The sequence below is a fragment of the Homo sapiens genome, chromosome 1, assembly GCF_000001405.40.
Source record: "Homo sapiens chromosome 1, GRCh38.p14 Primary Assembly".
NCBI classification, from domain to species: Eukaryota; Metazoa; Chordata; class Mammalia; order Primates; family Hominidae; genus Homo; species Homo sapiens.
The window spans coordinates 160,275,684-160,292,834 of NC_000001.11; the positions used below are offsets into that span (position 1 = coordinate 160,275,684).

The 17,151-nt window shown below is 44.7% G+C and overlaps 2 protein-coding genes and 1 long non-coding RNA gene across 7 annotated transcripts in view; 1 reads left to right on the forward strand and 2 right to left on the reverse strand.

The window, feature by feature from the left end:
- On the reverse strand, positions 1,124–9,468 carry PEX19 (peroxisomal biogenesis factor 19). 4 transcript variants are annotated; one of them, NM_002857.4, is made up of 8 exons: positions 9,372–9,450; positions 7,847–7,956; positions 7,261–7,426; positions 6,734–6,819; positions 6,356–6,517; positions 4,387–4,563; positions 4,118–4,162; positions 1,124–3,951 (listed from the first exon to the last, which is right to left on the reverse strand). In NM_002857.4, exons 1-8 carry the CDS (start codon positions 9,439–9,441, stop codon positions 3,868–3,870), a joined length of 900 nt encoding a protein of 299 aa, NP_002848.1. In that variant the 5' UTR covers positions 9,442–9,450; the 3' UTR covers positions 1,124–3,867. The 4 variants fall into 4 exon arrangements, 2 of the variants coding, with proteins under 2 accessions (NP_002848.1, NP_001180573.1); NM_001193644.1 differs by having other exon boundaries at positions 1,126–3,899; positions 9,372–9,468; NR_036492.2 differs by lacking the exon at positions 7,847–7,956.
- Positions 8,682–17,143, forward strand: LOC107985219 (uncharacterized). The gene is made up of 3 exons (XR_001738265.2): positions 8,682–9,172; positions 10,634–10,678; positions 15,574–17,143. It is a non-coding gene; the product is annotated as an uncharacterized LOC107985219 (long non-coding RNA).
- The window catches only part of COPA (coat protein complex I subunit alpha), a 54,657-nt gene continuing 50,416 nt past the window's right edge, over positions 12,911–17,151 (reverse strand). For both annotated transcript variants that reach the window (NM_004371.4, NM_001098398.2), the window contains exons 28-33: positions 16,801–16,937; positions 16,329–16,515; positions 16,136–16,246; positions 15,652–15,813; positions 14,809–15,003; positions 12,911–14,533 (exon numbers count right to left, since the gene is read on the reverse strand). In NM_004371.4, coding sequence (NP_004362.2) covers positions 14,474–14,533; positions 14,809–15,003; positions 15,652–15,813; positions 16,136–16,246; positions 16,329–16,515; positions 16,801–16,937 — 852 coding nt within the window. In that variant the 3' untranslated portion in view covers positions 12,911–14,473. The remainder of the gene's footprint in view (positions 14,534–14,808; positions 15,004–15,651; positions 15,814–16,135; positions 16,247–16,328; positions 16,516–16,800; positions 16,938–17,151) is intronic.

Consider the following 17,151-nt stretch of genomic DNA (forward strand, 5'->3'; position numbering starts at 1 on the left):
AAAGTGTTGGGATTACAAGCGTGAGCCACTGGGTCCAGCCATGTTTTCATCTATATTCATTGTAATATCCTTTAAATAAACTGAAATATGTAAGTAAGTGTTTCCCCAAGTTTTGTGGGCCACTCTAACAAATTAACCAAACCCAAGGAGCTGGCTGTAGACACCCTGATTTATAGCACAGGCAAAATAACCCAGGAATTGCAATTGACATCAGAAGTTGGGGGGGAGAGTCTCAGTGATTGATTGGTCAACCTGTGGGATCTGACACTGTCTCCAGGTAGACAGTGTCAGAATTAAAGTAAATTAGAGGATATCCAGCTGTTATCCACTGCAGAATTGCTTGCTTGTTGAGGGGAGGGAATTCCACACGTGATTACAGAAGAGTTCTGTGTCACTCATTGTGGTGTGAGAACAGAGGATGAACAGTGCTTTTCCACTCAATGATTAACTGATAAATGTCTCTTTCCATTGATAGTTTATGAGTCTAAGAACTATCTCAGGCTTAAAAACTGGACAAGAAATGGGGACTTTTCTTTGAAGTTTCTGACTTCAGCCTTCTGTTCAACCATTCTTGATCTCCCTTATATATAAGACAATACTCTTCTTGGTTGCCCATCTATCCTGCTCCTAGGACCACTCACATTCCGTTAGCCATCTCCACTTTGACCTTGCTACCCTTAAGGAAATTTACTCACCTTGCTTCTGAGAGTTAAGTGTTGCCACCTGGCCTCTGCTATGTCAGGATCCTATCATTCCCCCACTGCTACTAGGAAAACAGTTTCTTTTACATCTTGTATCAGCTTCGATCTAGAGAGACAGCCACTTCTAAATTTCTCAAAGATGCTGGTAACCCTTCATCAGTGCCTTTCCCATTGTCTTTATTAAAAAATAATTCCCAGGTCTTTCTGGGGTAGTCAGCTGGTGGGTTTACCAGTGTTATATAACATTCATTCTTGCATACCCATTTCCTCTAAGTCTTTTGGTCCTTTTTTGTATGGTCTGCCGTCTCCACGTCATTCAATATGGGCCAATGTTTTCTCCTAGCTCCCCAAAGCCATCTTAACATCATATTATAACTGCCTCATGGGGCTTTGACAAGACCTTCCAGAGTCACAGGAAAATGTCCCAATTATCAAAAAGTCTGTATTAATTCAATTCTTAATTCATGAAGCCACCCATACAATCACAAATTTATCTAACACATTTAATTTTGGAACAAAGGAGCAACTCCTTTAAAGTTTGAGAGTCGCATAAATATTTCATATACAGCTTAAACCTAAGCTTTGTAACGATTATTTTTGAGCAGCAGAAAAGGAAGGCTAGAGAAATGCTAGAGATGTCCTTACTAGTGACACATTCTTGCTGAAGAACAAGTTCTCTGGAAGTGAAACTCAAATAGGAGAGAACAAGAGATACAGGTAGGTATCAGTTCTGCTAGGGTCTTCAGAGAGACCGAGGGCCCCAAAACAGTGCTACTCAAAGATGATCTGCAGACTTGTGCTGGTCAGTGAACACCTTTTTTTTTTTTTCACCAGTCTGTGACATGGTGAATTAGAAATTGAGAGTGTTTAAAAACTTTTTAGCATTTCAATGTTGCTGTGATATCCAAGTACATGATCAATGGACTTAACCTACAGAACAGTCTGGCCAGTTTGGGTGCTGTCAAACTTGCCGGGTCGGCAGCACACAGTGTGAACTCCATACCTGTCATGGGCAATAGGAATGCATATTGATAAGTGAAGGACTGGAAAACAAAAAACCTGGTCCTTTACCATACATAGTTTGAGAAAGACTGCCCTAGAGTACCATAACTCCACCACAAGTCCTGGAATAATTCCAAAAGTTTTTGGAACAAAGTGTGACCTGAGGTCAACCTGCTCACATTCAATCAAAATCAAAATAAAAATGAGTGCCTTGGGAACAAAGATAAAGTGGACTAGGGCATCTATTTAGATTCCTGGAGTAAGCCCTGGCTAGGCTAGCAGAAGTGAGAATCTGTAAAAGAAAACTGGTAGGACAGAAGGCACAAGGTTCATAGAGAAGGGCTCTTTTGTTCTTCCCTCCTCCTCTCTATCCTTGTCCAGTTTTTGGCTGGAGCTTTAAGGAGAAAATAGTGACACTGAAGCCCCATGACTATATCACAAGTATACCTGTATTTTTTCCATCTCTGGCAGAACAGAGACGTTTTACATTCAGATCTGGGCTCTTCCATGCTCTGGTAAGGTATAGGAGTTGGAATTTCCCAAATAGCCTGAGACCTTGAGAACATTTCCTTCCTCACCAATACCATAAAACATGTAAGGTCTTCAAGGGGTGAAAAGTTTTAACCTCGGGGCAAGTGACATGTCAGAAGCTCAAAGCGACTCATAATGCATGTGAATTTGCTTTGGAGAGACTTATCTTCTGAGTGAACCAGGACAGCCAGCTGAGCTGACCAGAGTACCTACCAACATATGTCAGCCAAGGTCCGTAGACCCACTGGGAGCCACAGAAAAAAAGCCACGTCAGCTTAAAGAAAAATAATTTAGAAAACATAACAATATATTACTAACATTAATAACAATAATGTAAAAGGTTAAAATATAATACCACTTGAAGGGCTTTCTACATTGAAATACTCAAGGGAACATGAGGAAAGATGGCCATCCAGTCTCCTTTGCCAACTGAGGTGCAGACTGAGTTGTGGAAGGTGGGTGTTGATGGAACCCAGCATTACAATATTGTGTAGAACTAGTCTCCTAATATACCTCACTCTGCAACTTACGGAAGCTGAGGAAGATCAGAAAAAGACCACACTCCTCACTCAGAATATTTATTATATTCTGCCCCATGGGGCCTTGCAGGAAAAGGGACCCAAGCTATACCCCTACTCCTTTTCCAAGCTACTTTCCTGAACCAAGGGACAGGATTCTAAGAGAATCATGTATCTCAAATAAGCCAGAATGTATCTGGGGAAGAATAGCCATTAATTTCCTAGACCTGACACTGGGTTTATTTGTGTCTGCCAGGAAGACGGGGAGTCAGTGAGAATCGTAAATGGACTAGATGAGGGGAAATAGGATGGGCCCTTCTTTATCACAGCTTGAGCTCAAAAAGGTTGGGATAAACAGGTGTTTAAAAAAGAGAGGAGGTAAAAGGGAGGATGGGCAGGGGATAGAGGAAGGTCAGGGGCTGGGTTCACCCATATCACACAGCATTGTAGGAAGAAGCAGGGTAACCATTTGAGTTCTCAGCCTGGAACAGGGAGGTGAGGGCTCAGCACCTAGAGAGAGGAGAATCCTAAGGCCTCTCTTTCAACTCTATTGTGATTAGATGCAAAAGCCCTTTCCCTTTAGAGAATTCAGAATGGTCTGTCTGAAGGCAAGAGAGCATAGTGACAGACCTGTAGCCCCAGCCCAGGCTGTTTCTCCCCATTCTCAAAGGCTCTGCCAGGAGAACTATAGAAATACAGAGTCCCAGGTCTCTGCCCCTCCTCCCCAGATCCAAGAGAGGGAGTAGAGACAAGGCACAAAGACCCTGGACGTAAAGGTGAACATCAGTGTGGCCACATATAACATTATTTTGAGAAAGGAAAGAAAGTGCATGCCCCAAAAGGGATGCCTTCCTTCACCTTGCAGGTAGCTGGAACTTTGATAGTGGCAGAAACCACAATGGAGTAGGGTTCACAGAAATGGCCTGTGAAACAGACCCTATTCCTAGAGAGACAGAGGAAAAACCTCAGCTGGTATGGCACAATCTTGAATGGGATGACAGAGGGCAGCGGGCAGACTTCTCCCGCAGGTGACACTCCTGCCTCAGGTCCCAATGGTTCTGCTGACTCCAGATGTTCCCCATAGCTGGGACTCAGAGAGGAAAACGTGTTGTGTTTCACATGATCAGACACTGTTCACCACTGGCACCTGGTGGGCCCGAAAGATTGAGGGCATCCAGGTCAAAGTTGAGGCCAGGAGGCTGGGGAAGAGATGAAGGGACTCAGATAGTTGCTCATTTTTTAGGACAGACGTGAAGATCCATCCCCAGTAGCCACAATTTTCACCTTAGGTGGAATCCTGAGAGGTTAAAGAATTCTGGAAATTGGGGACTCAAATTAAAATCTGGAAAAATAAGACATACTCACCATCTCTCCAGCCAGCTCTTTTGGAGGATGGCCTAAATCTTGTAGCTAGAAAATAAGGAAAATGGAACATGAAATAGAGAAAAGCCCAGAAAACAACAGAGGATCCAGAAGAGGAATCTAATGAATGATCTCTCTATTTCTTCTGAGAGAGATCACAAGAGAGGATCCCTCCTCCACCTAGGTCTAGCAGTATTGCATCCTTCCCAGATACTTCCTTCACTGAACACCTAAGTGGACAGCACCAGTGGGCAGAAGGCAAGAGGCCTTACCTGCTGCATAAGATCCAGCACCATCTCAAAACGAGCCTTTTGAGTGGTTTCACTGTCTGTGGGGGTCTCTGCCTCAAACTGCTCACATATTTTGCACATGACGCTGTGCTGCTCCTGATATTTTTCAAACTGCTCTGGAGGTAGAGATTCCCGATGACTCTGCAACCATTCTGGATACTAAGAAAAGAGAGAATGGGTGGAAAAGAATTAAGTGAACAATGGATATGGATGGGTAATCAGAACAATGTGATTAAAATGTGAAAGGGAAAGGGACGTAGAAAAACGAAAAGCTAAATAAGTAAGTTCATCATGAAAAGCGGCACTGACTCCAACCAGATCACCTGGCCATGTTAGCATTTATGGTCACCAGAGATTGGTAAGCTTCTGTAAAGGGCCAGACAGTGAATATTTTAGGCTTCAAGGGCCACATATGGTCTCTATTGTGTTTTTTTTTTCTTTTTTTTCGAGACAGAGTTTTACTCTGTCACCCAGGCTGGAGTGTGATGGTGTGATCACCACTCACTGCAGCCTCGATCTCCCCAGGCTCAAGCAATCCTCCCACCTGAGCCTCCCCAAGTAGCTGGGTCTACAAGTGTGCACCACTGTGACTGGCTAATTTTTTTGTATTTTGTAGAGACAGGGTTTCATCATGTTGCTCAAGCTGGTCTTAAACTCCTGGGCTCAAGCAATCTGTCCACCGTGGCCTCCCAAAGCGCTGGGACTATAGGAGTGAGCCACTACGCTCGGCTATTGCACATTTTCTTTGTAGTTTTTTTCAAATGACCTTAAAAATGTAAAAACCATTATTTGCTAGAGAGTTGGATTTGTCCCACCCAGGTCTTGGCCTGCTGACTCGTGGTCTGTACTATTCATTACACACTTACCCACATTTCCCCATGTCACTGAAAAGCTTCTATTCCTGTATTTTATCTCTCCAGTAAAACTATACACTCTTTAGCCAGGTGTGGTGGCTCACACTTGTAATCCCAGCATTTTGGGAGGCTGAGGTGGGAGGATCACTTGAGCTCAGGAGTTTGAGACCAGCCTGAGCAATATAGTGAGAGCTCAACTCTACAAAAAATTTTGAAAACATTGGCCAAGCATGGTGGCACACACCTGTAGTCCCAGCCACTCAGGAGGCTGAGATGGGAGAAACACTTGAGCCTGGGATGGGGAGGCTGTGGTGAGCCAAGATCGTGCCACTGTGCTCCAACTGGAGCTAGACCCTGTCTCAAAACAAAATGATACAACCACACATATAAGCTCTTTTATGGCAGGGACCATCATTTAAACTACGCTTACACTGTTCACATCACAAAGCCAGTAAGTAAATCCTCAGTTAATTCTTTTTCTTTTTCAGATGGAGTCTTGCTCTGTCACCCAGGCCGGAGTACAGTGGCACAATCTCAGCTCACTGCAACCTCTGCCTCCCAGGTTCAAGTGATTCTCCTGCTGCCTCCTGAGTAGTTGCGATCACAGGCGTGAGCCACTACGCCAGGATAATTTTTGTATTTTTACTACAGACGGGGTTTCACCATGTTGGCCAGGCTGGTCTCGAACTCCTGACCTCAGGTGATCCACCCGCCTCGGCCTCCCAAGGTGCTGGGATTACAGGCATGAGCCACCATGCCCAGCCAAATTCTTGCTGGAGAAATGAAGTCAGAAATGCAAGATTGATCAGACAACAATCCCAGAGTCTTGAACCAGTTTATAGAAAACTAGAACTGAAGGATTTCCTCTTAGACCCCAAACGTTATACCTCTTATACCCCAACATACCGTGTGACAGCTTTATTCTCTCAGAGACACAACTCTCCCCAACCCCCAACTCTCCCTGCCTCAAATAAATAAAGAAGGAAAAAAAGCACACTCGAGTTACTCTTTCTGCAGGCTCTGAGTAGACAAAATAGCCCACATCAGTTGATGTGATGGAAAATGAAGAGAAAAAGCAGAAATGGAAGTTCACAAACCTTTTCTGTGATCTCCTTCAGTGATGGGTACAGCACATCCTTGGAGAGTAGGTTCTGCATAATACTCTGCATGATGGGGAGGATGTTCCCTTCCCCATCCCCTTCGTCCATGCCTAGCCCCTCCATGGCCTTGGTCAGCTCTTCTTCCGACATGCTGGAGTTCTAGATAGGACAAGTAAGAGGTGAGCAGGTATACTACCTTCTTGGGATGCTCACCACTCTCTCAGGTGACAAAGATAAACTATCTAAACTTGCCTGTAACAAACAATAAGACAGCAACAGACTTGGGATGATACTCAAAGCATCTGTCTTTTGAGACTCTGCTGGAGAAATGTCTGGGAGTGGACCCCTTGTGGGCCCCTACTACTTTCTCCTCACCTGAAGGTCAGTGGCATTTTTGGCTAATCCACTTAGTGTTTCCTTTAGGCAAGAAGTGAATTCTTGTTGGGAGGTCATATCACTGCCTAGGAGAGATTAAAAAAGCCAGCGTCATTTAGGAGTTTGTTTCCTTGCCTAGACTGAACTGGTTAACAGCTTGGATATGAAGCATTTACTAGTGAATCATTATCACTCCCAATCTTGGAAAACCCTATGGTTATCTTCATAGTCTTTTCATAAATCTATTTAGTACACGGACTCTGCATCAGTTTATTCTCCATGATGATACCCACAATAACACTGTGACCTTTCAAATGGTCAGTTTTGAATAATGTTTTCTATTACTTTCCAACCTATCTCACCCCTTTTCATTAACAGGGATTCCCATCCTTTCTCTCATTGCCTTTACCCGTTCCTTGGCTGTGACATCATGATTGCTATCAACTTCACTAAGAATTCTGGTGTTTTCAGGCAACAAAGACTTAAGAGTCTGTTCAGATATTTCCATGTATCTGGGGTCTCCTCACCCACTCTCCCTGCAGCCTCTGAGAGCTTTTGGAACTGCTCCACCAGGTGGGGTTCTTCCTCAGCCAACTCCTTCATTGCCTTCTCGAACTCCGCAGTGGCTTGGGAAGCCAGTTCACTGTCGAATAGTTCCTGGAAAAACTTCTCTTGGGAAGCGAAGAGGGCATCCTGCGGGGGAAGGATGGCTGAAATGCGTCTCTTACTTAGGACTACACTGCACCTGGCCTCTGATAGAAGCCACAGGCAGTGGCTATGGGAAATGCACCTCCCTCCTACCCAATTCCACTGGACATTCTAACTACTGCTCCTAATGAGGATAGCAAAAAAGGTATCTAGTCATTGAAGGAGGGTATGGGATGGCATACCAATCCAACCATTTAAACCTACTATTTTTTCAAGGAACTCTGAGATTCCCCCACTCAACCTCAAGTCCTTATTTCACAAGGACTGAGGCTGGCAAGAGCACTCACCAATGTGAGGCCAAGGTACCCTCCCACATTCCCCTCTGGCCCATAGGGGCCTGCCCAACCTCTGCTCAGGGCTGCATGCCCATCCCCTCCCCATCCCTTAAGGGGGTGGAATTTATACTTTGGCAGTGTCTCCTGGCGATCTCTTCTGGGGCCCCGAAGCATCAGGGGCCGTGGTGGTAGAAGGGGGTGCTGGGGAGGGTTTGGCTTTATCGAAATCATCAAGAGCACCTTCAGAGACAAGAGACATGGTGTGTGTGTTGGCGACAGATGAGAATGCAAGCAAGGCTGGGTGGTTTCTGGGCAAAGCATTAGGAATATGATTTTTCAAATTGCCAACTTTCCTCAATTTTCCTCCTTGAGTCCCCCACCTCCCCAGACCACCCTCAATGAGCCTCCTACTTCCTTCTGGATTACCTAATTTATTGTGAGCAAAGGCAAAGAAATCCCTTAAGGTGGAACAAATGTCCATCTCAGAGCTGGGAGGAGAGGATTAAAAAGTTCTGCAGAGACATCTCCATCTATAGTGTCTCCCTTGCCACACCCTAACGATTCCCTAGAAATCCCATACAAATACCCAACAGTAGTAGAGAACACAGATGTCCTCATCCCTCTGAACTCACTCTGGAGCTCTAAAAGGAATAACTTGGTGAGAAAGCACAGGACATCCCACCCAGCTTCCTGTTGGTACTGGTACCAGCACAGACTGAGGGACTACATACCAGACTCCATGGTACGGCATTAAACTATCTTCTCTTATTCTCCAGTTTAGTGCTCCCCAACAACCTTCTAGAGCTCCCTTTGGCCTGATCTCTGCAGATAACCGTACACTAATTTACACAGTCACTTGGCACTCCTCAGGGTTTCTGTTCATTTTTCTGCCTGCCCACATCTCCGTGATTGAGCAAGCGATTACAAATTCACCTCTGCCCTGAAAAGCCTGTGTCCTCACCACCATTCTGTTCGCCAGGCCTAGGGAGAGAGCACTGGCCCTACTCTGGGCAGGAAGTCAACAGGGGAGTGGAGAGTAATGCTAAGAAAACATCCCCCGTCTTTCAGGAGGGTGAACTGCTTTCCCCTGAAATCGCCACATCCTCAGTTTCTCAAAATAAGGGAAAGGAGTCCGCTTGAGCTACTGACAAGATGAAAGAACTGTTAAGGGGCCTAACGAGAGAAAGAGAAAAGGACTAGGAGGAGAAAAGTGTCTTTCGTGTTAAGGAAGACAGGACGAGGCACACAAGGACCGGCCACGAGCTTGCTAGGAGTTAATGTAAGCAATCAGTGAGTGCGTAGTTCGCTACCCAGCAAGAACCAAATGCTGCTGCTGCTGCTACTGCTGCTGAAGTCGAACTTTAAGAACTCAGTAACCTAAAGAGGAGTTTGAAGAGGTATCATGAAACGCCGTCCTGCGGAAACATCCACCATCCGGACCACTGAGGGACCCCAGGTGAGCTCCCCAGCTCCAGTCGCCGGGGTGGGGCAGGATGACCCAGAGATTTTTGGGGGGCTCGGGGGTCAGACTCTCCGCCCCCATTTAACCTTTGGAGAGCCTCTCCTGCCCGTCCCTAATATCTCAGGTTCACTTAACCCCCAGAATGGGTCCTCACACGTGCCCTCTTCGGGCCTTTCCCACTATGGGCTCTTACTTTCCAGAAGCTCCTCCAATTCCCTGTCCGCTTCGGCCCCGACACTACAGCCTTCCTCAGCGGCGGCCATCTTGCTACCTCCGACTTGCCGTAGGAGGCGGGACCTCCTCGGTGCCGACACGCCCTCCACCCCTTCGCTCCCGCCCTCTTCTGCCTCGGGTAACCAATGGTATTGTTGACCAGTGCGGAACCGCCATTTTTAAAGGGCCAGGAAGCTTTGAGTGTTTGTGTTTTGGGTATTTTTCCCTTTTCTCCTGTGAAACAGAATTAGGGATAAGATAGGGTTATTTTCTGTCTGGTTTTAGAGGCCCGGACTCCTTTCTTTCAACTTCCCAAATTACCTGGCGAAGCTCTTTCATTATTTTTTCCTGAGCTGTGAGTAGGCCAGATTGAGACAAACTGCCTACAAATAACCAGAATCTAAACATATATAATTGATATGACAATTATGGCACATAACATACTACTTTCTCTCACTTCATTTTTTTTTTTTTATTTTTTTTTGAGAAGGAATCTTGCTCTGTCGCCTACGCTGGAATGCAGTGGCGCCATCTCGGCTCACTGCAGCCTTGGCCTCCCGGGTTCAAGCGATTCTTCCTGCCTCAGCCTCCCGTGTAGCTGGGATGACAGGCGCGCGACACCACGTCCGACTAATTTTTGTAGAGACGGGGTTTTAACATGTTGGCCAGGCTGGTTGGCCAGGCTGGTCTCGAACTCCGGACCTCAGCTGATCCGCCCACCTCGGCCTCCCGAAGTGCTGGGATTACAGGCGTGAGCCACTGCGCCCGGCTTCACTTCATTGTTTCCCTCAAATATTATCTTTTCTGAAACGCTTTCCTTGGCCATTCCCGTTCCTTTTCTTCCTAACACTGAACAGTATCTGACATACTATCTACCGTACTTTTTTATTCTCCGCTCCCCACCCTGCAGAATTTAAACACCATGAACGCAAAGATTTTCGTCTGTTGTCTTCACTGCTGTAAAGCCCAACTCCCAGGCTAGGGTTTAAAACTTAGTAGGCATTCATTGGCCACTCTTTGCTCTCGCAGTCCCTAATCAGGCACATCTGTCTGCCCAATCTAGTGGCATCTCTCATTTCCTATTATCTATTAGAACTGTTTGATTAAAGGACACAGGGCCGGCCAGGAACTTAGAACTCCATGTTATTAAGAGAGCCTCTGGTACCTTGGACTGAGCAGGGCAATTCGAATGCAGTAGTAATAGACTTACTTTCCCTGAACAATCTCCTTTTCTCCACACAGAACCCAACCTCCAACTGAGTGAACACGGGGAATGCTCAGATAGAGGTAACTCTAGACGTCCCTTTCCTCCTTTGGAATTGTTCTATTCAGATGTCAGAATGTAGCAACTGTTTCACATACAAATCTGTTTTCGCACTTAGAGAGCACCTATTATTAAGGTCTTGTTCTGGGCACAGTGAGGACAGAGAGATAAATCAGGACCACCCCCTGCTGTAAGGTAGCTAAGTGGGGGTGAGCCGGAGGTATGATGAGATATACACACAGTATGATACAAGGTAAGAATTTTAAATGAAAAAAAATCCTGTGTTAAGTCACCTCATCACTTTCATTCTTAGCTTCCTAAACACACATTTGAGTACTGCATCAAGCACCAGATCAAGCACTTACTATGTCCTTCACAGATAGGGCACAGACTTGTAAAATCATATCTGCAAAACCTGTTTTCTTCCAACCACAAGTAGTGTGTTTTGGGATCAAAATATTATGAACTGTGAGTTAGAAAGCCTAAATTCCAGCCCCAATTCTGCCACTAATCACTTTTGAAGTCCTTTACAATTCTAAACTTCTGTAATCAAATCCTTTCCTGATAAACCTGTTTTCCAACACCTGCAACATAATTTATTCCAGACTTTCTCATTCAAACTGCTTACACGTGTATCTCCAATATGGCTATAGTTGTAACAAGCACGTCAAAAAAAGAAAACTTGTCTATCAACAGGCATCTCTATTGGTTTTATTTTTTGAGACAGAGTTTCACTGTTGCCCAGGCTGGAGTGCAGTGGTGCAATTTTGGCTCACTGCAGCCTCCACCTCCCGGGTTCAAGTGATTCTCCTGTCTCAGCCACCTGAGTAGCTGGGTCTGCAGGCTCGCGCCACCATGCCCAACTAATTTTTGTATTTTTAGTAGAGACAGTGTTTCACCATATTGGCCAGGCTGGTCTTTAACTCCTGACCTCAAGTGATATGCCCACCTTGGCCTCCCAAAGTACTGGGATTATAGATGTGAGCCACTACACTTGGTCAATTGGCTTTAAACTAATGTAATATAAGCATGTTAATTAAAAGATAATAGATGATAATTAAAATGGAGTCAAAAACAAGCATGATTCTTTCTTTGCATTATTTCTTAAACTTCTTTCTGCTTTTCTATTTTTACTCCTAATATTCCTAACATCTCATCTCAGTATTTACTGACCTACTGACTGCTCCTTCTGCCCTTCTAATGTATAGCGAATACTGTTGAATAACAGTATTTTATAACGCTTTCATATCACTCTGTTCCTTAAGGATTTAATGGTTCTCCACAGTTTATCGAACAAATTCTAATTCTTGCCTGGGAGTCACAATTATTTCACATCTTGTATTTTTAGTAGAGACAGGGTTTCACCATGTTAGCCAGGATGGTCTCGATCTCCTGACCTCGTGTTCCGCCTGCCTTGGCCTCCCAAAGTGCTGGGATTACAGGCGTGAGCCACCACGCCCGGCCTTTTTTTTTTTTTAAGACAAAGTCTTGCTCTTGTCCCCTAGGCTGGAGTGCAATGGTGTGATCTCAGTTCACTGCAACCTCCGCCTCCCGGGTTCAAGCAATTCTCCTGCCTCAGCCTCCTGAGTAGCTGGGATTACAGGTGCCTGCCACCCTACCCAGCTAATTTTTGTATTTTTCGTAGAAACAGGGTTTCACCGTGTTGGCCAGGCTGTTCTCGAACTCCTGACCTCAGGTGATCTGCCTGCCTTGGCCTCCCAAAGTGGTGGGATTACAGGCGTGAGCCACCACTCCCGGCTAATATGTACATTTTTTTTTTTTTTGAGACGAAGTCTCGCTCTTGTACCCCAGGGTGGAGTGCAATGGCACAATCTCATTAGTAGTATGTACTCTGTTGAGAAGGCAGCCTTAGTTTAGGGATGCTGTTTAAAAAAGCAACTCTTAAGATAAAGCTAAAAAATACAACGTATAGTATGAAGAGAAGTAAAAAACAAAGTGAAGCTCCCTAATATATTGATACGAGAAAATACCAAAAATGTTAAATGAAAAAACAAAGGTACAAAATTGTTAAATAGTGTGGTTTCATTTGTGTATAAAAGGAGATAGAGAATGGCATAGTGATATCAGCATGTGCATGTATATGTGTGTGTGTGTATATATATATATATATAAAATTTCTGGAAGGATGTAAGAAAGCTGGTAACAGTGGTTACCTGTTTAGGGGAAGGTGATAGGAACTGGGTGGCTGATGAAAGGGTGGAAAGATTTGTCACAGAATAGCTTTTTATATTTACTGATTTTTCAACTATATGCATTTATTATTTATTGAAAACATGAATTTAACACGCAAAAAAGTACTTATTTTAATCGAAGGCACAGTAATGTCACTCTACCCAATTATTCTTAGCATATGACAAGCAAAATATTGTATTGTTAATGTAATCATTGTATCATTGTAATATATATAAAGTACTATTCTTTTATCTGTATATTACATGTAAAATATCTAGAACAGTGACAGTCACATGGCAGGTGCTCAATAAATATTGCTATAATTAGCAAAAGATAAAAGGCTGCAATCAAAAACAGAATAAGGGAGCTACTTGCTTTCTATCATTTTCACAGCAGTTTAGGTCCTCATATATACCCTATGAAAAACATGTGCTTCTTTTTTTCTTTCTTTTTTTTTGAGATGGAGTCTCACTCTGTCGCCCAGGCTGGAGTGCGGTGGCGCGATCTCAGCTTACTGCAACCTCCGCCTCCCGGGTTCAAGCAATCCTCTGCCTCAGCCTCCAGAGTAGCTGGGATTACAGGCACCCACCACCATGCCCGGCTAGCTTTTTTTTTTTTTTTCCAATAGTGGATGTTTATTTTGTAATTAAAAATTATTACTGGAAGGAAGATATGTACTTTGGTGGGGTGCCTGCATGGGTGAACAAGAACATGAGAGTGTCCAAGAAATAAATGGCCAAGTCAAGAAGCTCTCATAGAGATTTATTTAGTGTGAGAAATATGAGAACAATAGTTGTAAAGAACAAATCAATAACCCGCAGTGTGCATTTTGGAAAACCAAATAACTTCTTCAAATTTCTGAGTACACAGAGGGTACCTGCCTTGAAATTTAAATGTCTAAGGAAAATGGGAGATGATTAAGAGTTGGTGTGGCCTAGTCACACCAAAATGTATTTATTACATCCTGCTCCTTTCTAGTTGACAGGAAAGAAAGCTGCTGTGGGGAAAGGAGGGATAAATACTGAAGGGATTTACTAAACAAATGTCCATCACAGAGTTTTCCTTTTTTTTTTTTTTGAGACAGAGTCTTGCTCTGTCACCCAGGCTGGAATGAAGTGGTATGATCTCAGTTGAATGCAACCTCCACCTCCTAGGTTCAAGCGATTCTCATGCCTCAGCCTCCTGAGCAGCTGGGACTATAGGCGCATGCTACCATGCCAGGCTAATTTTTATATTTTTATTAGAGACGGGGTGTTGCCATGTTGGCCAGGCAGGTCTCGAACTCCTGGCCTCAGATGATCTGCCCACCGTAGCCTCCCAAAGTGCTGGGATTACAGGTATGAGCCACTCCACCCAGCCCAGAGTTTTCATTTGTTCCTTAAAATAATTAAGCTGGAAAGGCAAGGACAATTATGAGCACAACTGTAGTCAAGTTGAGAAGACCTCAAAAAAGTCAAGTTTAGACCTTCGGATTTTCCATAGAAGAGAAAAAGATACTAGGTTTTAGGGTACAGAGAGCCAGATCTGAAGAGTAGCTGCAGGGGGAAGGTGCTGTTAGAAGGAGGATATAGACACATTCTCTGGGGGGAACATATGGTGACTGACCCATGCACACAAAGGGGGCCTTAGCGAAACTGCAGAGGACTGATCCTTAAACCAATCACATCTTTGCCAATCTCTGTCACCTGTGGAAAAACAAACAAAGGAACAAGTTAGAGATTTGTAAGATTGAGAACCCTAGAAAATGTATTCCCTATACCCCTCAATGGGCACAGTAGACAGGTATTGGGGTGTTCATCACTGACTGGCCAAGAGCAGTGGGGAGATGCTCTAGCTTTCTCCAGTGTCACTGCCTCAGGGAGCAGGGGACAAGCACAAGAAGAAAAAAAGGACCACCATGTTTCTTTCTTTTTCCCCTTCGCTCAATATCCTAGATATATTTATTGAGGACAGTACTTACTGTGGTGACCCTGCAGATTTGACCTTTGAACTCAGGGGAATAGCAGGCCCCACTGAGTGGACACTTTTCTACTGGCTTTCCACGGTAGATGGGCCGATATGATGCAGCACAAATGTCAAAGGGGTTGTGCATGTCATAATTGAGCTGGTAGGCATCTGTGGGATTCTTCTCACAGGCAGACAGGATTTTTCGGGTCTAGGGGAAGGAAGGAGTATTTAGGAGGACAGAAGGCTGCAGACAACACCTCAAAGGATCCCAACACCATGGTTTGGTAGTTCCGTTGATGTGAGACACAACTGTACTGCGTGAAAAGAGGTCCCAACCTCTGTACTGGATGTATGTGAAGGGTTAACAATCACCATTCCTATTGTATCAAACTTTCCCCTTCTCAATACAAAAGTGGCTCCATAATCTAGACCCACATTCCTCCACCAACTCTAGAGATTATCAGGGTCAGGTCCTAGAAAGGGTTAAAACAGACTTCCATCACCCAAAAAGAATGCATTTGGAGGACACAAGTAATGAGATGTGTATGTGAAGCTTTGTGGTGGTTGTGATGGGATATCTGGAGCTTAAGGACAGGACTGGGGTTACTTTCAGCTGCAGTGGAGCTATTCTAGGTTGCACGGCACTCTTAGACGAGTGCCATGTCTCAATAAACTATTAATTTTCCAGGAACAAAGGAAACACCAAGTCAGGAAGTAAACAGAGGGTAGCATTCTGTTGGCTTTTTGTTGAATGTTGTTATTTATTGCTTTGTTTCAGAGGCAAGGACCTTGGTCTGCTCCCTCCATGTAAGAGCTGATCTGGCTTCCCTATGGTCACTGAAGGAGTTCCATCTACCTGTTGGGCCACCTCAGGCTTGGGCCCGAGTTCTAGTAGGCGCCGAGCAAAGGTGGCAGCTGTCTTGAAGTTCTTGAGCTTGAAGAACAGATTGAGGGCTGTACGCAGCACCAGGATCATGTGCACAGGCTGCAGGTTTGAGTGGGTGAAATAGGCTGCCATCTGGTGGACAGAAAAAGGAACACATGCCAGGTTGATGCTACACCTGGTAGAAGTCATTTCTAAGCTGCTACACATGCATAAAAAACACAACACAAAATAGGATGATGGGCTATAAAGCTGAGAGGTCTTCTACCTCCTAGGTATGGAGGACTGGTGAGATGAGGAAGTAGGATGAAGAAATGTATCCTCCCCTCATAGAAATGAAGGGCCTAAATTTCTCTTCATCCCCACTCAGATCTGGGTTTGAAATTAAAGAATTCAAACCTAGTGAAGGGTGAAGGGAAGGACGTCTCTGTTGTGCTCAGGGTCCTATAGATCTTACCTCACAGATGCGCTTCTGCTGTTCTAGAGTCTCTTTGGGCAGCTTCTTCCTTTCTGTCTCCACGGACAAACCCACAATGTACTCACGGCAAATGGTGATGAGCTGCTGGGCCTGTAGAGGGGGCAGAAGGTCAGGATACAGAGACAAGAATGTGGAAGTGCCCAGAACTGGGACAGCGGCTAGACCCTCCTACCTCTGCAATCTCTTGTTTATTGTCCACAACAAGAAGTGGCACACTGAGAAGGATGGAACGGAATTTTTCCACAGCCTCCTCAAATTTGCCAACTGTGGTGAGCTGGTAGCACAGCTGCAACCGTTGGATGAGGTCATTAAGCTTCAGGCCCACAGCTGGTACACCATTCTTCAGCCCTGCATCCTTCCTGGAAAGGGAAAAGTAGGAAGAAGACAGGATAGTCAGTAGGCAACTAGGACCCAATTTCCTTTTCTGGCAAACATCCTCATAGCTACCCTCCTGTCTCCTGTTAAAGTAGCTGGGGAAGAGGATGACAGCAGGTGTAAACCAACCCCATAGAGTAACAAACCAAAGATCTTTTTCTACTGGGAAACCCTAGCTCTGAGAGAATTCTGACTATGTCACTGAGGCTACCATCTGAAATATCGACCACAACTTGGAACAGATGAAAGCAAAGAGAAAAGGGCCTTACCAGTTGCGATTAGGATAGCCATACATGGAGGGTAGGCAGGGCAGAGCCTGATAGGTTGTGCGGCCTCGGGCGTATGTCTGTAGGAACAGTTGCTTGTAGGGGCCAAACTGGATTACCCCTACTTGGTCATGAAGGAGCTGGAACAGAAGGAAAGAAACAAGGATTTTGGCCCTGCTGCATAAAAAGCTACTTTTCCTTGGGCAAGGTAATTAATTTCTCTGTTCACGTTTCCTCATCAGTAAAATACACTTAATTGTAAGACCTACCTCATTTAATGATACCTATTAAAGTATTTAGGATAGTGCCTGGCACACAGTGAACATTAAATAAACGTTAGCAGTTATTGCAGTG

Coding starts and splice junctions, on each gene's coding strand:
- PEX19 (NM_002857.4), bottom strand. CDS start 9,441: ATGGCCGCCGCTGAGGAAGGCTGTAGTGTCGGGGCCGAAGCGGACAGG. Junction 7,957..9,371: donor ATTGGAGGAGCTTCTGGAAA/GTAAGAGCCCAT, acceptor TTGTCTCTGAAG/GTGCTCTTGATGATTTCGAT. Junction 6,820..7,260: donor AGAGGCTGCAGGGAGAGTGG/GTGAGGAGACCC, acceptor AATCTCTCCTAG/GCAGTGATATGACCTCCCAA.